Source organism: Homo sapiens, chromosome 16, assembly GCF_000001405.40.
Source record: "Homo sapiens chromosome 16, GRCh38.p14 Primary Assembly".
In the NCBI taxonomy this organism is placed as follows: Eukaryota; Metazoa; Chordata; class Mammalia; order Primates; family Hominidae; genus Homo; species Homo sapiens.
Window position 1 is genome coordinate 4828166 of NC_000016.10, and position 20930 is coordinate 4849095.

Here is a 20930-nt window from a genome sequence, read left to right on the forward strand (position 1 = left end):
TTCACGCCATTCTCCTACCTCAGCCTCCTGAGTAGCTGGGACTATAGGCGCCCACCACCATGCCCGGCTAATTTTTCGTATTTTTAGTAGAGACGGGGTTTCACCGTGTTAGCCAGGATGGTCTCCATCTCCTGACCTCATGATCCGCCCGCCTCGGCCTCCCAAAGCGCTGGGATTACAGGCGTGAGCCACCGCGCCCGGCAAAGGTATGTACATTTTAAAAAGACATATTGCTATTGTACCACTTAATAGACTACAGTATAAACCTAACTTTAACATGCAATGGGAAACCAAGACGTTTGTGTGACCTGCAATGATCTGGAATCGAACCTGCAGTATCTCCAACGTATGCTACACTACTCCCCAGATTAATAATTCAGACCCAAGGGCTGTCTGCAGTTTATTGGGAGCTCGTGAGACGAGTTCCTGTAAGCCTGGGCAGTGGCCTCTGGGGTTCTCACTGTACAAACGGCCAGTGTCTGCGAAACAAACCTAAAGAACTGATCAAATGCCTTGTACACAGGCACTGTTCTAAGTGCTGTGTCCATGTCACTCATTTAACTAACACAGTGAACCTAGGAGGCACGTACTGTTGTAATTCCTAACGATGAGACAAGGAAACTGGGGCAAAGGTGCTTTGCTAAGGTCCTATATACGTGATTCAAACTCCAGGCCCTCGTCATAACCTCTCCTTTGTACTTCCCTTTATCCAACGAGAAGGTATTTCTTTCCAGGGTGGCACAGGCACCGGTGAGATGCATGGCTTCACATACCAGACAATATCAATTTGGGAAATAGCATAAAATCTGACAGCCCAGATTCCTTTTGGATTCCAGGAAATAAACTCAGAAGTCACATTACATTTTTTGTGGGTCAATTTAGATCATGTTCCCTATAAAGTTCTCTCTGCACTGCAGCTGGCAGCTTTTCCAAACCTTGGGCTGACGGTATGCAGGGACAGCACTGCCACCCTTGCTCTCACCACTCCCTCAGCCTGAGGTCATCTAACAGTGAGAAGGGCTGTCTCTCACCAGAGGCCTCACACTGGCAGCCCACAGAGATGTTTCTATGGCCCCAAGACATATTTTTGAACTAAGCACATTTAAAATTGGGATATTTCACATAAAAACCTGTATTTCCAGCTTCTCTCTTTTTTTGGAGATAGGGTCTCACACTGTTGCCCAGGCTGGAGTGCAGTGGTGGAATTGTAGGTCACTACAGCCTTGACCTCCTGGGCTCAAGTGATCCTCCCACCCCAGCTTCCCAAGTAGGTGGGACTACAGGTGTGTACCACTATGCCCAACTAGTACTTTTTGTTTCTTTTTTTGTTGTTTTTTTTGAGACAGGGTCTCGCTGTGTCACCCAGACTAAAGTGCAGTGGCATAATCTTGGCTCACTGTAACCTCCACCTCCTGGGTTCAAGTGATCTTCTCATCTCAGCTTTCTGAGTAGGGGGGACTACAGGCACACACCACCAACCCCAGCTAATTTTTAATTCATTTATATTAAATTTTTTTTTTTCTTTGAGACGGAGTCTCACTCTGTCGCCCAGGCTGGAGTGCAGTGGCGCAATCTCGGCTCACTGCAACCTCTGCCTCCTGGGTTCACGTGATTCTCCTGCCTCATCCTCCCGAGTAGTTGGAATTACAGGAGCGTGCCACCACACTCGGGTAATTTTTGTATTTTTAGTAGAGACGGGGTTTCTCCATGTTGGTCAGGCTGGTCTCGAACTCCCGACCTGAGGTGAACCACCTGCCTCGGCCTCCCAAAGTGCTGGGATTACAGGTGTGAGCCACTGCACCCAGCAAAAAAAATTTTAATAGAGATGGGGTTTCCCTATGTTGCCCAGGCTGGTCTAGAACTCCTGGGCTCAGGGGATCCTCCTGCACTGGCCTCCCAAAGTGCTAGGATTACAGGTGTGAGCTACCATGCCTGGCCAATTTTTTAGTTTTTGTAGAGCTAGTCTTCAACTCCTAAGCTCAAGCAATCTGCTCACCTCAGCCTCCGAAAATGCTGGGATTACAGGCATAAGCCACTGCACCTGGCCAACTTTGTCTTTTTTTTTTTTTTTTTTTTAAGGGAAAGGCTCTTACTATGCTTCTCAGCCTGGTCTTGAACTCCTGGGCTCATGTGATCTTCCTGCCTCAGCCTCCCAAAGTGCTATGATTGCAGGTATGAGACACCACAACTGGCCTTCCCAGCTTCTCTTGAGAAAAAACAGACAATTTGGCAGAAGCTGGCTAGAACCCTGTGGACAGAGCATGACCTCCCCAGACTCCCTGACCATGGCCAGCCCTGCTGCTCTGAGCACCAAGGCAGGTCAGCTGGGGTGCCTGGCACCCGTGCCACTGCTTCTTAGGTCCAGTCAGCTACAGTTGCTTCCATTACCTGCCTGGGCTCGCTGGTGTCTGAATTTTTGAGCCTTGATCCAAGGTCTAATGTTCCATCATGGCCTCGTCACCCAACTGTTGCTGCCAGCCATCTGGCTTCTGTTCTCTTTATCCTGCTGTTGACAATCCTACCGCGTTCCTGACACAGTCCCCTTCACTTTGAAATTCTTCTCTGTGGCCTTGTAAGACCGGCCCCAAATCTTGTCAGCAAGAAGGCGAGAGAGGCACTCTCACTGCTTTATCTCATCTTGCTAGCTCCTCCTGCTCCTTCCTGCCCCAAGCACGGCATTCTTGTGGCAATGCAGGCCTCCGCGCTTCCCTCTTCTCCCTCTCTTCCTGAAACAAACCCATTCCACTGCCCGGACTCAACTACCCTTTTACAAATTCACCTCCCAAATCTACATTTCTAGTCCTGAGGTCACACCAAGCTCCCAGGCTGTCTAGGCCTTGCCTCAAGTTCTTGACATTCCAAACAGAACTGGTACTCTTTCTCCACAAGCCACCTCTACATCCCCAGTCCTCTACTTTTAAGAAAGTGATGACCACTTTCCCAGGAATGAAGATGGAAATCCTCTTTTCCTTTTTCTCATTCATCCTCTATATAACCAATTATGGAATCTTAAGAACTCTTCCTCTGAAGTGCCTCTCACCTCTTTGCTTGCAACATTTGCAATTACCCCCTTATGAATGCACGCCTAGACTTACCTCCTAATTGGCTCTGAGACTTTCCCCTCTGCACTCGGTGACTACTGGTGCACACACGGGAGGCACACACTGCCACTGGCTCAGTCACCTTCCCGGGCCCCCACTGACTCCAAGACGCTTTAGTACCACGCTGCTTCAGTAGACCTTCAGGCCCTCCACGATCCAGGGACAAGCTTCCTTTTTCTCGGCTTTCCTCACTATCCTCTCCCTGTTCGAGAGTATCTCCACCAGCACCGAGCCTCACACGGGCTGTGCCCTCCATCTTTGGAATGCCTACCCTTCTTTCTTGCTAAGCCCCTCCCAGGGCCAGCCCTTGTGCACCGGCTCAAGTGGACTGCTCTCCTGCCTCGCGCTCCTACTTTACACCTGCATCCAGGCCGTGTCTCTCACCTGGTCTATGGGATTCTTTATTTTTTAATTTTTTAAATAAGATTCGGGGTCTCACTCCATCACCCAGGCTAGAATGCAGTGGTGCAATCGGCTCAATGCAACTTTGAGCTCCAAGGCTCAAGCCATCTTCCTGACTCAGCCTCCTGAGTTGCTGGGATAAAGCATGAGCCACCGCACCTGCCCTGCAGGATTCTTGAGCACAGAATTCTGCTCCCACTCCATGAGCAGAGTATAGATAAGCATACTACATAAGCATACTGTAGAGCTTAACTCTACCTTGTACTAAAAGGACATCACTAATCCCGGAAGCTGCAGAGAGAAAACAAACCTTCTCATCCTTTGGGGGCCGACCCCGCTTCCGGGGACTTTGCTCTTGGGCTCTTTTCAGAGGGGATTTGGAGCCTCTCTCTGAAGAGCCTGAAGACACCCTCTTCTTTCCTTCTCCCATGTTCTTCTTCACCTTCCCTTCAGACAGGCTAAGTTTGCGCTTCTCATCACCTGAGTTTGGCCTACTTCTCTCCTCACTGGAATTACGTCGATTCTTGTCATCAGAAGAATTGTGGGATGACGTCTGAAAGTTTAATAATAATAATGATAACTACCACCACAGCTGCTGCCGCCATCGCCACCATCATTTACAGGTGCCATGTGCTGCTACAGGCACTCTGTGTGGTCTCCTCACAATGACCCTAGAAATAGATTCTGCTGTCGTCCCAGACATTGGGAGAAGCAGATTTAAAAAATATATATATCAAAAGTCACTTTCCCTATGTCCCAAAACTAGAAGAAAGGATTTAAATCTAGGCAGTATATGTATTTCAGAGGCTATGCTCCTAATCTGTGTGCTATGAAAGGAAGAAATGGCCTGTGCTAGACTCAAATGCTGAGATATTTCTCCTGGGTCCAAGCAATTTTCCTAAAAGCAACAACCTACTCCAGAAAGGTTAGCTGCATGGAGTTTCAAACTGATAAGCAAAACGCTGACACCTTAGAACTGAAGTAGCTTTCTCCAGTAGCATTTCAGAAGAACAAAGGTTTGCGTTTGGGTGACATTTAATCTGTTAGTTGCTATGCAAAAATCACCAGTCTGGCATTGGTAGAAAGTGAACATTGTGTCTCTCACCTGGTCTTTCCCTTTGGCTCTCCTGAGGAACTCTTCGACAGCATCTACCGCTTGCTGGAATCGTTTACCCTTGTTAATTTTTATCATTTCCTCTTTATGAGCATGATATGGCTTCAGCTGTTCCACTTTGATCCAGGCACTAGCAGAAAACAAACACAAAAAGGGTGTGAACCATATAGCATATGCCCTAAAGTATCAACAACCTCACTATGGCACGGTGTAAATATCCATTTGGTTTAACTGGACTTTGCAATAGGCCTTGCCATTTCTTTCAAAACATGCTATCAACCATCTCAGAGTCTTATGTCTAAAGTATATTTTCTTGAAACAAGTCAAGCAGAACAACCATCACCACCACTGCAGCAACCACAAATCAAGTTCCTCCAGTGAAAGCACTGTGTTGCAGATTATTTATTTCCACAATCGTCTATCAGCCTCCAATGCCCAACCACATATACGCTGCCACTTGCTCAGGGCAGAAAGAAATCTGGAGACCCTTTCCCATTCTCACCAGGCAGCACAAATGGCCACACACAGATCCCTGGGAATCAGGGTACCTGGAAATGTGATAGATGATAGCAGCATTACTATGCAGGAAAATGCCTGCTGCCTGTCAACAATGGGAACCAGATTTATGATCTGTTGATCCACAGAGAGTCAGGGATGTTACAGAGCTGAAGAAATGCAACATCTTCTAAAATTTGTGGTTCCTATGGATATTCACAGCCACTGAGCCTATATTTGTTCATAAATGATGGTAACCATGGCTACTAAACCACACAAAACACGGAACACATGGTTTGGAATAAGGGCAGCAGTTACAAAAGGAGGCATTTAAAAACAAGATGGCATGCTGTTTTATGATGTCTCAAAAAAAAAAAAAAATAGAAACAAGATGCTTGAGATTAAAGGTAGAAGAACATACACCTCCGATATGTAATTTTTAATTTCAACCATCAATGTGTAACACATGAAAGTGAAAGTAGTCAGCTGTCAATTCTGGGGTTTCTGATCTGTCACACTAACCTGAACAAATCTGCTGCAGCTGGCTTTCTATGGCTTCCCTGAATGGCATGCAGCTTATAGAATCCAAGCACAAAATAATTTTATAGGCTTTACAAGGTATCAGTTAGTTTACATGTTTTAGCCTGTGATACAGGTTTCACAGCATAACCTTCAGAAAAAGTAGGTCAGGTTAAGGATACAGAAACCCAGCTATCTCACAAGCTTCAGGTTGTTTTCTTCATAGAAAGCTAGAGAATATTCACTAACAGCAAGTGTTAACCTTTGCACATAAAAATAATGTTACTAACCCTCCACCAGCTACCTGGACTTTGAGTGTGCTGCTGGTAGTTGTGATAATGGGGTCTGTGCAAAAACACAGACCTGGGATCATCGGCCTGCAGATGTCAGGCAGCGAACCACTATCAGGCATGCCACCATGGCTAAGTGAGATGATGAATGGAGATACAGAAGCTGGTCTCCCTGGCACAGCTCCAACTAGAGGAGTTAGGCAAATTCCTTTTTTTTTTTTTTTTTTTTTTGAGACGGAGTTTCACTCTTGTTGCCCAGGCTGGAGTGCAATGGGGCGATGTTGGCTCACGGCAACCTCGCCTCCTAGGTTCAAGTGATTCTCCTGCCTCAGCCTCCCAAGTGCTGGGATTACAGGCGTGAGCCACCACACCTGGCCTTTTTTTTTTCCTTTTTGAGACAGAGTCTCATTTTGTCACCTAGGATGAAGTGCAGTGGCACGATCTTAGCTAACTGCGACCTCCGCCTCCACCTCCCAGGTTCAAGCAATTCTGCCTCTATCTCCCGAGTTGCTGGGACTACAGGTATGCACCACCACACCCAGCTAATTTTTATGTTTCTAGTAGAGACGGGGTTTCCCTGTGTTGGCCAGGCTGGTCTTGAACTTCTGGCCTCCAGTGATCCACCTGCCTTGGCCTCCCAAAGTGCTGGGATTACAGGTGTGAGCCAGCAAACTCCTTTCCAGTGACCAACTCATCTTAAAGTTTGAAATTCAACATGAGAGCGCCAATGAGTCCAATCTGCTGGGAGGAAAAGTGGAAGGAGATTTCGACCCCAGATTTTCTGGCAAGAATATCCCTGAACTGACTCCGTTCCCTCTCCTTACAGGGATGCTAATGACAGGCCAGAGCAATCAGATGCAAAGTCAGACCCAGCCCCAAAAGCCAGTGAAGCTACCATACTAACCCGTGGGTCTGAGATGACACAACCAGTATCAAGGATGAAGCTTAAGGAGTCGTGACCAGCCAGTTCTTCCTAGGAGCTTCTGGTCAGAAGCTGAGAACCACACAAGTTCCCAATATAGGACCAAAAAGGTGATTTTTATGGAACCCCTTGAGATGGGACAACAGACTCCGAGACTTGCTAATCCCACCCACGCCATCCTGCTACCTCCATCCCTGCCTCCCACTACCCAGCCTCACAGGAACCCGATTCTGAGGGAACAGAAAGGTGAGGATGTCTGTGAAGTGCCAAGGAATCAACCCCATTTTTTGTTGAAGCATCTTACAAGGTTTACTGATTTCTGCTAGAAGGAACTGTACAGTCAAAATTCCACTCACTTTAAAGCATTTGAGATACTAAAATTTTCCTCTTTACAACCATCTTCGAAACATTAAAATGGCTAAATGAACTGACAGTATGAATAGGATGGTAAATCCAAGAAATGTTAATCTATTTAAGGAATCAACTTATTGCTGGAGAAGCATCCTGTTACATCAAAAAACAGCCATAAAAAACCAGCTTGGCTGGGCACGGTGGCTCACACCTGTAATCCTAGCACTTTGGGAGGCCGAGGCAGGCAGATCACCTGAGGTTAGGAGTTTGAGACCAGCCTGGCCAACATGGTGAAATCTCGTCTCTACTGAAAATATAAAAATTAGCTGGGTGTAGTGGCACGCAGCTGTAATCCCAGCTACTCGGAAGGCTGAGACAGGAGAAACACTTGAACCCAGGAGGCGGAGGTTGCAGTGAGCCAGTATTGTGCCACTGCACTCCAGCCTGGGCAACAGAGTGAGACTCCACCTCAAAAACAGTAACAACAAAAAAACCCAGCTTACCAGAGCTCTATGGGGATTACCTCTTGAAAGCAAACCAAACTTAAATCACTTTGGCTATCTGAATACAATTTTTTCTCTAAAGGTTACACTTCTTTCATCTTTTTTAAATTTATTTTTTATAGAGATGGGGTTCACCATGTTGCCCAGGTTGGTCTCGAACTCCTGAACTCAAGTAATCTGCCCACTTCAGCCACCCAAAGTGCTGGGATTACAGGTATGAGCCACTGCAACTGGCCTACCTCTGTCTTTTTAATGAGAATATGCTTTTCAGTTGGCGCCTCAACAATGCACCACTGTCTAATTCACGGAGGCACATCAGCCGGGCCTGGCACACCACTGGTCCTCAATAAATAATCACTGGGTAAATGATTCCTTCCCAGATGTTCAGGAGGATGTACTGCTCACCAGTGAGTTAAAAGGTGCTACAATGCTCCAGTGCGTAAGGCTTTAGTGTTTTTGTTGTTGCTACTGTTGGTTTTTTAAGTGACTGTTTCTTTCCTTGATAGAAGCTGTAACTTTTGATTTTCCTATCATCCTCCCAAGACTTAGATGGAGCTATATCTTTCAGCCCAATTGTGGCTGGGAAGTCAGAAAAATCAAGCTTATTCAAGCTGTATTTAAAGTAGGAGACTTTGCTTTTTATGTACAGTAGAATGAATGACACATTGTGATAGTAAATAGCTGAAAACAGGCAAGGTCATTACAGAGAAGGAAAGCGGATGTCTCGTAAGATATCTGGCTACGTGGAGATGAGCAAGATAAAAAGCAATGCATGTTATGTGCTACCACTCGTGCAAAGACAAGGAAAATGGACTGACCACGCACTGATATCTCTGGAGGGACACATCATCAGAAACTGGTCTAACTGGGTGGCTGTGGGATGGGGATGAATGCAACTGTTTCAATGTTGACAAGTTTTTGTTTTTGAATGGTGAACACATATTATATTGGAAAAAAAAAAAAAAAACAAAACAAATCAATACTAAAGGCCTCTGCCCTAGAACACAGGCTATGCCGACTGCCCAGAGGGTTTCCTCCATGACTTCCTGGTTTGCAGGTTTGCTCTGGTGGGTTGCTGCTGCCTGGCTGCTGGCATAACTGCACCTGTAACACAGCCAATTTACCCTGGTGACCTGACACTCTTCCTATAAAAAGTCTCTTCATCTATGAATACAGAACCGCCACTAAGGCACTCTCAGATTACTCCAATCAAAATGAATTAAAATCTGGTATTTTCAAAAACTTGCACACTTCTGATTTGCTTTCCTCTTAAATGAAAATCATACATGTAGGGCCCGGTGCGGTGGCTCATGCCTGAATCCCAGCACCTTGGGAGACCGAGGCAGGTGGATTGAGGCCAGGAATTCGACACCAGCCTGGCCAACATGGCGAAACCCCATCTCTACCAGAAAACACAAAAATTAGCCAGTTGTGGTAGCACACGTCTGTAATCCCAGCTACTTAGGAGGCTGCGGCAGGAACTGCTTGAACCCGGGAGGTGGAGGTTGTAGTGAGTGCAGATCGTGCTACTGCACTCCAGCATGGGCGACAGAGCAAGACTTGGTCTTTAAAAAAAAAAAAAGAAAATCATACATGTAGATACTGTATATTAAAGATGTCAGCCTATGACTAATCTTGAACGCTGTCACATGTGTTTCAGCCTTCACATAGACAGGTGACCCGGGGTGAAGCCGTGAAGCTAAGAGAAAGAGAAAAGGAGAAAGGACGGGGAGAAGATGGCAGGGGGAGGGAGACAGACAGAGAAAAAGCACACACACACAAGCATAGAGTATAAAGGTGAGAACAAGCCGGCACGGTAGCTCACGCCTATAATCCTAGCACTTTGGGAGGCCGAGGTCAAGAGATTGAGACCACCCTGGCCAACACGGTGAAACCCTGTCTCTACTAAAAATACAAAATTAGCTAGGTGCGGTGGCATGCGCCTGTAATCCCAGCTACTCCGGAGGCTGAGGCAGGATAATCGCTTGAACCCAGGAGGCGGAGGTTGCAGTGAGCCAAGATCGTGCCACTGCATTCCAGCCTGGCGACAGAGCGAGACTCCATCTCAAAAAATAAATAAATAAATAAATAAATAAATAAATAAATAAATAAAGATAAGAATAAAAATACAGGTGAGAACAAAGATGGGGCCAGAAGGTGTGGGTTTGCTTCTCCATTTGGATTTGGTGAATACTTAGTAAACAATTTCTATGGGTGCCTTTTTAAAAAAAATCCATCCAAAGGGGCTGAAGATTACTGAGGTGTTACAGGCCAAGTTCTTCAGAAATAAAGGCACCAGAAAAAAACACACACAAATCAGGTGCCAGGTGAAACGAAAAAGGGATGCTTCCAAGCTGCTATGCTTCTAATTATTAACCACATATTCTTCTAGAGCAGCTACTTTCAGTACTGACTCAGACACCTCACATCCAGCGAGACCGGTCCACCTTAGATGTGGCTTGGTGGAAAAGGACCACTGGTCTCTCAGTTTCCTCATCTGTGAAAAAATAAGAACCAGAAAGATGACCCTGTGCACTTCCTGAAAGGGCTGCTGTGAGGACTGGAGGGGAAGACTGCTATGGAAACTCGCAGGTAGGCACTTGCAGCTTCTCCACTGTTTGTCCACAATCTGTTGAACCGGTTGGTTTCTGGTGGCTTCTAAGCACCTGTAATTTAAATGAACACTCCCTCCATTCCATCATCATCCACAGCCACTGATGAAACTTTTCTTTTTTTTTTTTTGAGACAGAGTCTCACTCTGTTGCCCAGGCTGGAGTGCAGTGGCGCGATCTCGACTTACGGCAAGCTCTGCCTCTGGGGTTCACGCCATTCTCCTGCCTCAGCCACCCGAGTAGCTGGGACTACAGGTGCCCGCCACCACGCCCAGCTAATTTTTTTGTATTTTTAGGAGAGACGGGGTTTCACCATGTTAGCCAGCATGGTCTTGATCTCCTGACCTCGTGATCCGCCTGACTTGCCCTTTGAAAGTTCTGGGATTACAGATGTGAGCCACCGTGCCTGGCCAAAACTCTTCTTTTTTAAAAGACAGGGTCCTGCTCTGTCACCCAGGCTGGAATACAGTGCCTCAATCACAGTTCACTGTAGCCTTGACCTCCCAGGCTCAAGCGATCCTTCTGCTTCAGTCTCCCAAGTAGCTGAGACTACAGGTACATGCTACTACGCATGAACCCTCTCACCTGTGTTTCAGCCTTCGGATAGACAGGTGACCTGGGCTGAAGCCGTGAAGCTAAGAGAAAGAGAAAAGGAGAAAGGGCGGGGAGAAGATGGCAGGGGGAGGGAGACAGACAGAGAAAAAGCACACACACACACACAAACACACACACAAGCATAGAGTATAAAGGTGAGAACAAGCCGGCATGGTAGCTTTAAATTTTTTATTTTTAAATTTTTTGTAGAGATGGGTCTTGCCATGTTACCCAGGCTGGCCTTGAACTCTTAGGCTTGAGTGATGCTTCTGCCTCTGCCTCTTGAAGTGTTGGGATTACGGGTGTGAGCCATCACGCCTGGCCCCGATGAAACTTTTAAACCGTGAGCTCTGTCTCTACTCTGATGGGGGGGTCACCACTAATCAGACCTGTCAGAGAGGGACCCTCGTGCACTTGACACATAATCTTTGGTTGTAGTCACCAAGTGAAGCTGGCAGGGTTTTGCTGAAATTATATCCCCTTCGTATTTCCATGAAAATACAAAAATTACGTGGGCAGTTTTGTCTTGGCCATCTCGCTCAGGGAGCCGAATCCGTATAAAGAAGTCCTCCTCTCACCAGGACACCTGATTAGGAAGGTCTGGCCCTCTCCTAACAGTGGGATGTCAACACAATTTGTTAGATATTTTGGCAGAGATGTGGAGAGAGAAAAATCAGGTTTCTAAAAGATTGTAATCACTGATTATCTTGTCATAAGGAGCCGTTCTTTCTGCTCTTTAATAAAAGACCTTGCAAATATTAAAAAAGTATAACTACACTTTTTTTTGCCTAAGTAGTGTGTCAATTTTGAAACTGAACATCTTTGACCAAATCCTGTATTTCTCAGGAACGGAGGACACTCCACTGGGTCAGACCCTATCCACCTGGGCCAGGGTCCAGTAACCAATGGTGCCCCCACCCAGGATGTGCCTGGACCACATGCCCCCTCCCTGATGTCAAGTGTTAAAGGCGAGGTGCAGTCCAGCTTCTACAGGAGCCACTTATGGCTTTGTCTTCACAAGTTAGTTCTCATCCCTAAAAAATCCCCTTGCAATACCTGTTTACACCACCTCTTAAACGCCCCTTTTATGCAGTGCTCCTCACCCTGGTCCTAACACAGTCATACCACAATCCACTTGCAGTGCCCATCGCCAAACTCCTCTAGGCCATTCGCTGTTTCCTACCTCCTGATCCCGTGATTCCTTCAGTCTTTGCTTTTCCACATTGAAGAGTCCTGCTCTTTTGTCTGACTCAGTTCCCTTTTCTGGATCTTGGCCAATTCTAAGAGATCCCTTTGAAAGCATGATCTGAAGTCCATAGAGTATTCCTGATGAGGCGCATACAGTTTTACATAAAGGTGGAATGATGCATGGTTTTGTACTCAAAGCCTTTTTGGTAAAAAGAGCAAACCTGGCTGACATCCTTTAGGAACTTCCAACTCTCATATTCCTTTCTTTTCAAACAAACACACACACACACACTCTCTCTCTCTCCCATAGGGAGAGTCTCCATCTCTCTCAGTTTTCCATACTTAAAGGCATCCTGGACCAATGTGTGCTAATACCTGCTGTATGGCAAGCCACACTCTACACAAGAGATACTACTTTTCCTTCCTAACTATGAGGTAGGGGGTATCATCCCCTTATGTAGAGGACACAGAGGCTCAGAAAGGTGAAATAGCTTGCCCAAATCAGGGAGCAAGGTGGAACCGGTACCTGAATGCACATTAGGCTGGTAACCAATCCAGAGCTCTTTCCCCAAAGTAATCTGCTGCCACCAGCCAATCTGGAGATCTTACCTTCATAGAAAAACACAAAATAAAATCTGCCCCAGCACTGATCACTAAGGAAGTGTTCCTTCTTTAGAGAAGTACTGTACATCTTTACCCTTTATTTCCTTTCTCTAAGTTAACTGCCTACCCACAAAAAGATAACACATTAGTACCACAGTGACTTCATTTTTATAGTTTAAAATGTAGAACTCTAGCAAAGGAGTTTAAAAAGTTAAAAATATTGCATTTAGCAGTTGCTTTGTATCCCACTTGTTTACAACCCTCCAAAGAACCTTCGTCAGTTAGAAATTATATCATCACCACCACCATCCAGGCTATTTTTGTCTTGAGCAAGCACATCACCACTGGCTTCACCTGTTTGCCTGGTTAAGCTCTGAAATTAACTCAACTCCAATTTTCTGTGTCCTATTTCTAGCACTTGTTATAAACAAGGATCACAGTTTATTAATCTAGTCTTTTAGCATTAAAAAAAAAATCGGGGCTCGGCGCTGTGGCTCATGCCCATAATGCCAGTACTTCGGGAGGCCGAGGTGGGAGGATCACTTGAGCCCAGGAGTTTGCGACCAGCCTGGGAAACATGGCGAGAACTTGTCTCTACAAAAAAAAAAAAAAAAAAAAAAAAAAAAAGTAAAAAATTTAGCAGGGCATGGTGGCACACAACTGTGGTCCCAGCTACTCGGACTGCTGAGGTGGGAGGATTACCTGAGCCTGGGAAGTCAAGGATGCAGTAAGCCATGTCCGTGATACTGCACTCCAACCCTTTCTCAAAAAAAAATCAAGAAACCAAACAAGAACAACAACAACAACAACAACAACAAAAAACATAAGGAAACAATGGCTTTCAGGCTCCTTATGAGACTGAGTTCCCATTTTTGTTTCAGACTTGTGTAATTATTCATTTAGCTAATGAAGTTTGGGCCAACCATATTGCCTCTGTTATTCCTAAGCACAAGTTACCTCAGGCAGGGAGCCTCTTCCTTTCCATAACACCCAGCTTAATGCCAATTGTTCATGGTATCCCCACTGTCTGAAATGCCCCTATAGTCCCCATCCATCCAGATTCTATGTATCTTCCAGAGCTGGATTCAAATCCCATCTCTGGCTGAGTGCGATGGCTCACGCCTGTAATCCCAGCACTTTGGGAGGCCGAGGCGGGCAGATCACGAGGTCAGGAGATCAAGACCATCTTGGCTAACATGGTGAAACCCTGCCTCTACTGAAAAATACAACAAAAATTAGCTGGGCATGGTGGTGTGCGCCTGTAGTCCCAGCTACTCGGGAGGCTGAGGCAGGAGAATGGCATGAACCCGGGAGGTGGAGCTTGTAGTGAGCCAAGATCGCGCCACTGCACTCCAGCCTGGGCGACAGAGCGAGACTCCGTTTCAAAAAAAAAAAAACAACAACAAAAAAAAACAAACAGAAAAACAAATCCCATCTCTTCAGTCAGTCTTCTTGGTTCTCATGGCTCTCCACTGAGCTCTCCCTCTTCTAGAATTCTTTTTCTTTTTAAGACAGGGTCTAGCTCTGTCACCCAGACTGGAGTGCAATATTGTGATCATGGCTCACTGCAGTTTTGACCTCCTGGGCTCAAGCAATCCTCCTGCCTTAGCCTTCTGCATACCTGGGACTACACTTGTGTGCCACCATGCCTGGCTATTGAAAAAAAAAATTTATTTTTTTAAGTAGAGACAAGGTCTTGCTATGTTGTCCAGGCTGGTCTCCGGCTCCTGGGCTCAAGCAATCCTCCTGTCTTGGCCTCCCAAAGTGCTGGGATTACAGGCATGAGCCACTGTGCCCAGCCTAGAATTAACAATTATCTGCCATCATTCATTCTGCACATAATCTTTATTTATTTTTTGAGACAGAGTCTCGCTCTGTCACCCAGACTGGAGTGCAGTGGCGCGATCTCAGCTCACTGCAACCTCCGCATCCCAGGTTCAACCAATTCTACTGCCTCAGCTTCCTGAGTAGCTGGGATTATAGGTGTGCACCACCACACCCGACTAATTTTTGTATTTTTAGTAGAGACAGGGTTTCACCATGTTGGCCAGGCTGTTCTCAAATTCCTGGCGTTAAGCAATCTGCCTGCCCCGGCCTCCCAAAGTGCTGGGGTTACAGGCATGAGCCACCATGCCCGACCATCATTGTGCACATCATCTTATCTGAAATGTTTACAACTTGTCACTTGACTGAGCATCTGGAAGGTGGGAACTATAATACTTGCTTTCTTATAAATTCCCTCAGTGTCAAGCAATTCAGAAAGTGGACACATAACACTGATGTTATGCATGAGGACAATCTTTCCTGTTTTTCTTTTTCTTTTCTGAGACATAGTCTCAGTCTGTCACCCATGCTGGAGTGCAGGGTCTCGAACAATCTCTGCCTCCTGGGTTCAGGCAATTCTCGAGCCTCAGCCTCCCAAGTAGCTGGGATTACAGGTAGACGCCAACACTCCTGGCTAATTTTTGTATTTTTTGTAGAGACGGGGTTTTGCCATGTTGGCCAGGATGGTCTCGAACTCATGACCTCCAGTGATCCACCCACCTTGGCCTCCCAAAGTACTGGGATTGCAGGCCTGAGGCACCATGCCCGGCCAAATCTTCTTTTTAAATCCATGGAGTTCTAAGAACATTCCCTCTTCCAGAAGCTCTGGCTCCACAGCTCCAGGCCAGCGATCTCCTTGAAATACTGCCACCACAGGCTGCTAAGCTGGCTTGTGATAGAGAAATGGGGCTGGGTCTATCTGTAAACATGAAACCAGGAAGAGCATCTGACATATAAACTCCTGGATGAGTGAAGAATACTGTTTATAATATATCGCTTTCTAAGTAGAAATACTTTAACCGTCAGAATTAGATTTACCAGAGAAGCCACAGACATTTTTTTCAAATCTAAGGCTGTATTTTCCTATAAGAATAATAAATAGAAATACAACTACTTAAAGAAATCAAACCGGCTGGGCATGGTGGCTCTTGCCTGTAATCCCAGCACTTTGGGAGGCTGAGGGGGTTGGGGGGGGGAGGGGCAGATGACTTGAGGTCAGGAGTTTGAGACCAGCCTGGCCAACATGGTGAAACCCCGTCTCTACTAAAAAATATAAAACAATTAGCCGGGTGTGGTGGTGTGCGCCTGTAGTCCCAGCTACTCGGGAGGCTCAGGCACCAGAATCACTTGTACCCGAGAGGTGGAGGTTGCAGTGAGCTGAGATCATGCCACTGCACTCCAGCCTGGGTGACAGAGTGAAACTCCATCTCAAAAAAAAAAAAAAAAAAAAATCAAACCATCTAGCTAGACCCAGGTAAGCCACTTGACATAGTGATAAAAAGCTAAACAAATCACTAGCAACTCAAGTTAATACAGGTTCTTCACGTTCTTCCCGTCACTGTAACATGTTATATGGTCAGAGTCTCAGATTAATGGTCCTGGTTTCCCCAACTTAGGACAGATCTGGTAAAAAGACTTACTATAACAATGTCAAAGCAAATCACTTAGTTTTACACATGAGAACATGATTGAACAATTACTTTTATTAACATAAATAAAAGTTTCCACTGTATACCCCAAGCATGAACCATAATGATATATGGCATTAAAAGAGAACTGAACATGGCTTTTATAAAAATAATTGCCAGCTGGGCGCAGTGGCTCACGCCTATAATCCAGCACTTTGGGAGGCCAAGGCAGGTGGATTGCTTGAGTCCAGGAGTTCAAGAACATCCTGGGCAACATGGTAAAACCCCCTCTACAAAAAATTAGCTGGGCATGGTGGTGCACACCTGTGGTCCCAGCTACTCGGGAGGCTGAGGTGAGAGAACCGCTTGAGTCAGTGAGGCAGAGGTTGCGGTGAACTGAGACTGCCTCTGCACTCCAGGCTGGGTGACAGACTAAGTCTCTGTCTCAAAAACAAACAAAAAGGAACTGCCTTTGGAGTTGGGTAAAGAAACATGTGAGAAACTGTTTCAATGTGATTGTTATAGTTAGAAGGTAAATGAACCTAGTTCTTGCCTGACTTAGTTATAGACCTAGGACAGTTGTCTAGGGCAATTTCTGCAAGAAATTGCACCTTTATTTAGGTATGAAGGCAGAATGAGATGCCAGTATTACACATTATAAGAAGACTGAACTAAGGATCCTTAGAATATTTTCAAAGCAGCTCAGACTCCAGGTAACACAGAAAGAAAGGCGAAGGGAGACTCCTGGTGAGTACTACTCACTGATCTTCTGTTCCAAAAAATTTCACAAAGAAGCATTTCTTTCCGCGAGGTTTCTTCAAGTCCTTTGGTGGATTAACAATCTGGAGGATAAAAGGGGGGAAAAAGGTTGGCTGGCAACACAGCAGCCCACTTTCTAGTGGCTCCACATTGCTCTACAGTTCTACGTTGCTAAGAAAAAAGTAAATTAAAAGGACTTACTTACAAATAAATTTATTTATATACAAAACAGAACCCAAGGCCTAGTACTTGTCTAAATCTCCCATTTTTCTATTGAGGTGTATGGAAATGTGTAGATATTCTAGAAGTTCCCAATATTTAACATGTAGCACAGTGCTCAGTAGACACAATATCCCTTTTACTGCAGTGGCCCTGTTTTACAAGCAGTTAAAACTAAGATCAACAGCATCCCCTGCCCCCCACCACCCCACCCCTGCTCCAATGTGACCCCATTATTACTGAAAAAATGCAGACGACACTCTTTGAAATACTTCCTGTGCAGGAAGGGTTGACACAGGACATAGTGAAAACAAAGGACAACCGAGGCACAGAAAACACCATATTGCAAAGAGACCATCTAAAGACACCTCCCGGGCTCCAAGCAAGAATATAAAAACACAACATTTGGAAAGCAATGATGGATCACCTCATGCAAAATCTGGAATGCCAACTTCTGCAAAGAGGCACTGGAGTAGCACATATGGTAACATGGAAAGAAGATTTAAACTTAGTTGGGACAAAAATACTTTGGCTTTTCACTAACCTACATTTAGACTTTCTTCCTGGATAATTTATATTTTCTTCTCCTTTTGTTACATTTAAGCATAAAGCTAAATTCAGACTAGAATTATTTCCGGGGTTAAAAAAGAAACTTCATAAACCTCCTCTAAATCCAGAAATAAGGGTTTAGAGAAGATTTAATGATCTGGTGTATACTGCATTGCCTTTTAAAAAATAACCGATACTAGGGGAAAAAAAATTCTAAGTGCCATCTGAATGAGCCCAATTTAACTCAATACTAGAAACTGAGAGGAATGCATCTTACATTCTCCACCTCTTCAAACCCAACTTCAGATCTCTTCCTTTAGTAGCAAGACACTCACCTTTCCTGGCCAAGGAGGATATCGGCCGAGTTTCCCCCTAGAGAAAACACAAAGAGTCAACACTTGCCCTGCAAAAGCCAGTCCATCTCCTTCAACCCACTCAATACGCAATTTATTTTCCTAAATCTCTGCTGGCATCCTCAAATGCCGAAACAAAAGCTTTCATAGCTGGGCCCAACACCCTCAGAAGTAAAATGCAAAATTGTATACTTATGTGCACAACGCATATCCATTCTTCTGTTGACAAGGAATACAGAACAACACAACTGTCAAAAGTCACTTGTCTAGAGCTTCTTAATGACGGGGGTGGGAGGACAGCTTCCTCTGTAAACACAGACTTTCCCTCCCTAAGTCTGGTTTAATTCAACAGGAGACCTGCCTGGCTTTGACAAATGCTAATGGAAGCCTTCCTCTGGGTGGAGAAACAAGCTACGCAGCTCGAGGGAGGCGGCGACAAAGTCTTGGTTCGGGCGGTTGTCTGGGACACAGAAGCAGACCGCGGGAGGCACCCAAGCGTGCACTGGTCACTGCCAAGCCATCGGTTGTAAAGGAGAAGTCCCCCCGCCGTTTCTTCGCGGGGCAACGCCAGCAGTCCGGTTTAGACAACCCCGGCTGAGCCGGCCGCACAGGTCGGCTGCATCGCAACCTGGGCTTTGACCGAATGGCACCGGCCAGATCTCGCAGGTCCGGTCCCCGGCGCTTCTGCTTTCTGGGAAGCCCCAACAAGACCCCGGGGACCGGTCGTCCGGGGAAGCCTCGCGGCACCGGCGGCTCCCTTCACGGGGGCCGCCAGTATCTGGGCCCCGAGTGCAGACCCCACCCGGCCGGCCTCGGGGATCAAAGCCGGTGCCCGACGTGGCCACCCTCGGCCTCGGTCCCCCGGGACTGGACTGCCCCTTCCGCCTGGCGCCGCTCGCAAGCGCCGGCACCTTCTCTTCCCCTCTCTCCGCGACCTGGAGCGCATAAAAAGGCAGCTCCAGGGCCGGCAGCGAACCCCGCGCCCAGGCGGGTAGCTCCCCGGCGCGTCTCGGTTGGCCCGGCCGCTCGGACTCACCACACCAAGTCGCCGAGCCGCAGACTCACAGCCGCCATCTTACCACCCAACCACCGCCGACGCACGGGCCGCCGGGAACAGCAAGTCGCCCCGGCGCCGCCCATTGGAGTGGGCCCGACCACGTGACGGGGGCCGGCTGTCACTGGCCACGCCGCTACTCTGACGTCACCGCGCCCGCCGGGGATCATTGGTCGACCGAGGGGCACGTGACGCGAGCGCCGCGGTCTCCGCGCGCCGGAGCGCAGAGACTCCCGGCTCCTTCCCCCTCCCTTCGGCTCGTGACAACGAAGCGCCCGCGGTCTGAGGCGGCGGCGGCGGCGACGGTGCGACCGGCTGAGCGCGAGAGGGAGCCGGCCTCGCGGCTCGCCCCGCCCCCGGGTCTTGGACTCCGCGCCCCTCCCCTCTCGGCGCTTCCGTTACGCCCGTTGGTCCGGCGCGGGCCCCGGGGCCATTCCCGAGCCCGAGGCGCTGGTCGGCCCCGTCGCAGCGCCAGTGAGCTACCCTGACGGAGCTCGGCGCGGCCTGGAACTCAGCCTCCGCCGGGTCTGGGCTCCCGCGCCCGGCAACTCTGCTTGGCCGCAGGCCGGGAGGCCCCGGTGTCCGCGCCCGTCCGCTCCCGCCGCCCGTGTTCTTTGGAGCGCTCCTCCCGACGGCCGCTTTCGGAGGCGCCGTCTGAGCGCGGGGTCCCGCGCCGCAAGTTCTCCTGGGGCGACCGGAGGCTGCTCCCCCGACCCCCTGGTGTCCCCGGAGTGGCTGCGCGGACGTCGAGTTGGCATTTCTTCGCTTCCTCCTGGGCCGGCGCGCGGCGCGGCACACCAGGCTCCCCTGGGCTCGGGGACCCGGCCATGGGCCGAGGCGCGGGCCGCCCGCCCGCTGGGAGCCACGGCTTAGCAGCCGACCGCTAGCTGCGCCGCCGCCCGGGGACCGGCATGAGGACCGCCGCGGGGGGACGTCTGCGGCCCGCGTCGGCGCTGGGGACAAAGGTGCGTGTCGTTGTCGGGTCCGGGCTCTCTCGTTAGCCTTGCCCTAGTTTTGCACTTTTGAAAAAGTTGTGACAACAGGAAGACAGATGCCGGGCGTAGTTTGGACACTTTAAAACTGAACCATGAACTGGGAAGTGTTAACTGCAGTTGAGCGCAGCGTCGGCCCAAACTTCAGCAGACCAGGTAGAATCACAATTTTGCAAAAGATCCCAGTCCCGATCACAGACTCCACAGTGTTAAGGATTGACTTAGACTTGGTGTCGGGCTCTTGTTGAGTCACTGCCAGCTGGCAAAGGTGGCGAGTCGACACGCATTTCCCCAAGGCATTGTGGTGGTTAGAGATTTCGGTTGCAAGTCGGTGTTTAGCGTACTGGGTCGTCCCGCAGCCTGATTTTTCTTGGGAGATCAGTTTCCCTGAAGTACCAAGAATTAGCTGCACGGACTGTCATTTACTGCGTGTGTATTTTTAAGACAAAGTGATCTTTAAAGCGTATTTAAGATTCCAGGGAATAATTTGATAAAAATTTAACATAAGTTCCTGTTTAAAAATTCTGAATTTGTGAGGAATTGAATGAGATTTTAATAACTTAAATAAAAACATGAATCTTGGCCGGGCAGGGTGGTATAAGCCTGTAATCCCAGCATTTTGGGATGCCGAGGCGGGTGGACCACCTGAGATCAGGAGTTCGAGACCAGCCTGGCCAACACGGTCAAACCCAGTACTCTACTAAAAATACAAAATTAGCCGGGCGTGGTGGCGCATGCCTGTAGTCCCAGCTACTTGGGAGGCTGAGGCAGGAGAATCGCTTAACCCGGGAAGCGGAGGTTGCCGTGAGCCGAGATTATGTCACTGCACTCCAGCTAGGCGACAGAGCGAGCGAGACT

General features: G+C 47.8%; 2 protein-coding genes and 1 long non-coding RNA gene across 27 annotated transcripts in view, besides 6 other annotated features; 1 reads left to right on the forward strand and 2 right to left on the reverse strand.

The window, feature by feature from the left end:
• The window catches only part of GLYR1 (glyoxylate reductase 1 homolog), a 44086-nt gene extending 24963 nt beyond the window's left edge, over window positions 1–19123 (reverse strand). For 8 of the 11 annotated variants that reach the window (NR_136698.2, NR_136699.2, NR_136700.2 and 5 more), the window contains exons 1-5: window positions 19063–19123; window positions 18009–18045; window positions 16909–16988; window positions 4609–4747; window positions 3814–4056 (exon numbers count right to left, since the gene is read on the reverse strand). Coding sequence is in view for 5 of the 11 variants with exons in the window: in NM_001324098.2 (NP_001311027.2) it covers window positions 3814–4056; window positions 4609–4747; window positions 16909–16988; window positions 18009–18045; window positions 19063–19100 (537 nt within the window). In the remaining 6 variants the exon portion in view is untranslated. Of the gene's footprint in view, window positions 1–3813; window positions 4057–4608; window positions 4748–15238; window positions 15438–16908; window positions 16989–18008; window positions 18046–19062 lie in introns of all 11 variants that reach the window. The other 3 variants (NM_001324096.2, NM_001324097.2, NR_136695.2) reach the window with 2 other exon arrangements.
• LOC124903638 (uncharacterized) lies at window positions 11078–13225 on the reverse strand. Its single transcript, XR_007064967.1, has 2 exons — window positions 12087–13225; window positions 11078–11514 (listed from the first exon to the last, which is right to left on the reverse strand). It is a non-coding gene; the product is annotated as an uncharacterized LOC124903638 (long non-coding RNA).
• Window positions 18567–18626: an enhancer, noted in NCBI's record as "active region_10345". NCBI's record gives its function as "activates an Ori minimal core promoter by ATAC-STARR-seq in GM12878 lymphoblastoid cells {active_cell/tissue: GM12878}" and the evidence as "EXISTENCE:reporter gene assay evidence [ECO:0000049][PMID:35858748]".
• Window positions 18927–18986: an enhancer, noted in NCBI's record as "active region_10346". NCBI's record gives its function as "activates an Ori minimal core promoter by ATAC-STARR-seq in GM12878 lymphoblastoid cells {active_cell/tissue: GM12878}" and the evidence as "EXISTENCE:reporter gene assay evidence [ECO:0000049][PMID:35858748]".
• Window positions 19177–19896: a silencer, noted in NCBI's record as "silent region_7168". NCBI's record gives its function as "represses an Ori minimal core promoter by ATAC-STARR-seq in GM12878 lymphoblastoid cells {active_cell/tissue: GM12878}" and the evidence as "EXISTENCE:reporter gene assay evidence [ECO:0000049][PMID:35858748]".
• Window positions 19177–20124: a biological region, named in NCBI's record as "H3K27ac hESC enhancer GRCh37_chr16:4897448-4898290".
• Window positions 19282–20124: an enhancer, noted in NCBI's record as "H3K27ac hESC enhancer chr16:4897448-4898290 (GRCh37/hg19 assembly coordinates)". NCBI's record gives its function as "activates a minimal SCP1, AML or CMV promoter by ChIP-STARR-seq in primed H9 embryonic stem cells {active_cell/tissue: H9 hESC(primed)}" and the evidence as "EXISTENCE:reporter gene assay evidence [ECO:0000049][PMID:30033119]".
• Window positions 19316–20930, forward strand: part of UBN1 (ubinuclein 1) — a 34921-nt gene continuing 33306 nt past the window's right edge. For 10 of the 15 annotated variants that reach the window (XR_007064874.1, XR_007064875.1, NM_001079514.3 and 7 more), the window contains exon 1: window positions 19316–20045. The gene's annotated coding sequence lies outside the window, so the exon portion shown is untranslated. 15 annotated transcript variants of the gene reach the window in all.
• Window positions 19907–19996: a silencer, noted in NCBI's record as "silent region_7169". NCBI's record gives its function as "represses an Ori minimal core promoter by ATAC-STARR-seq in GM12878 lymphoblastoid cells {active_cell/tissue: GM12878}" and the evidence as "EXISTENCE:reporter gene assay evidence [ECO:0000049][PMID:35858748]".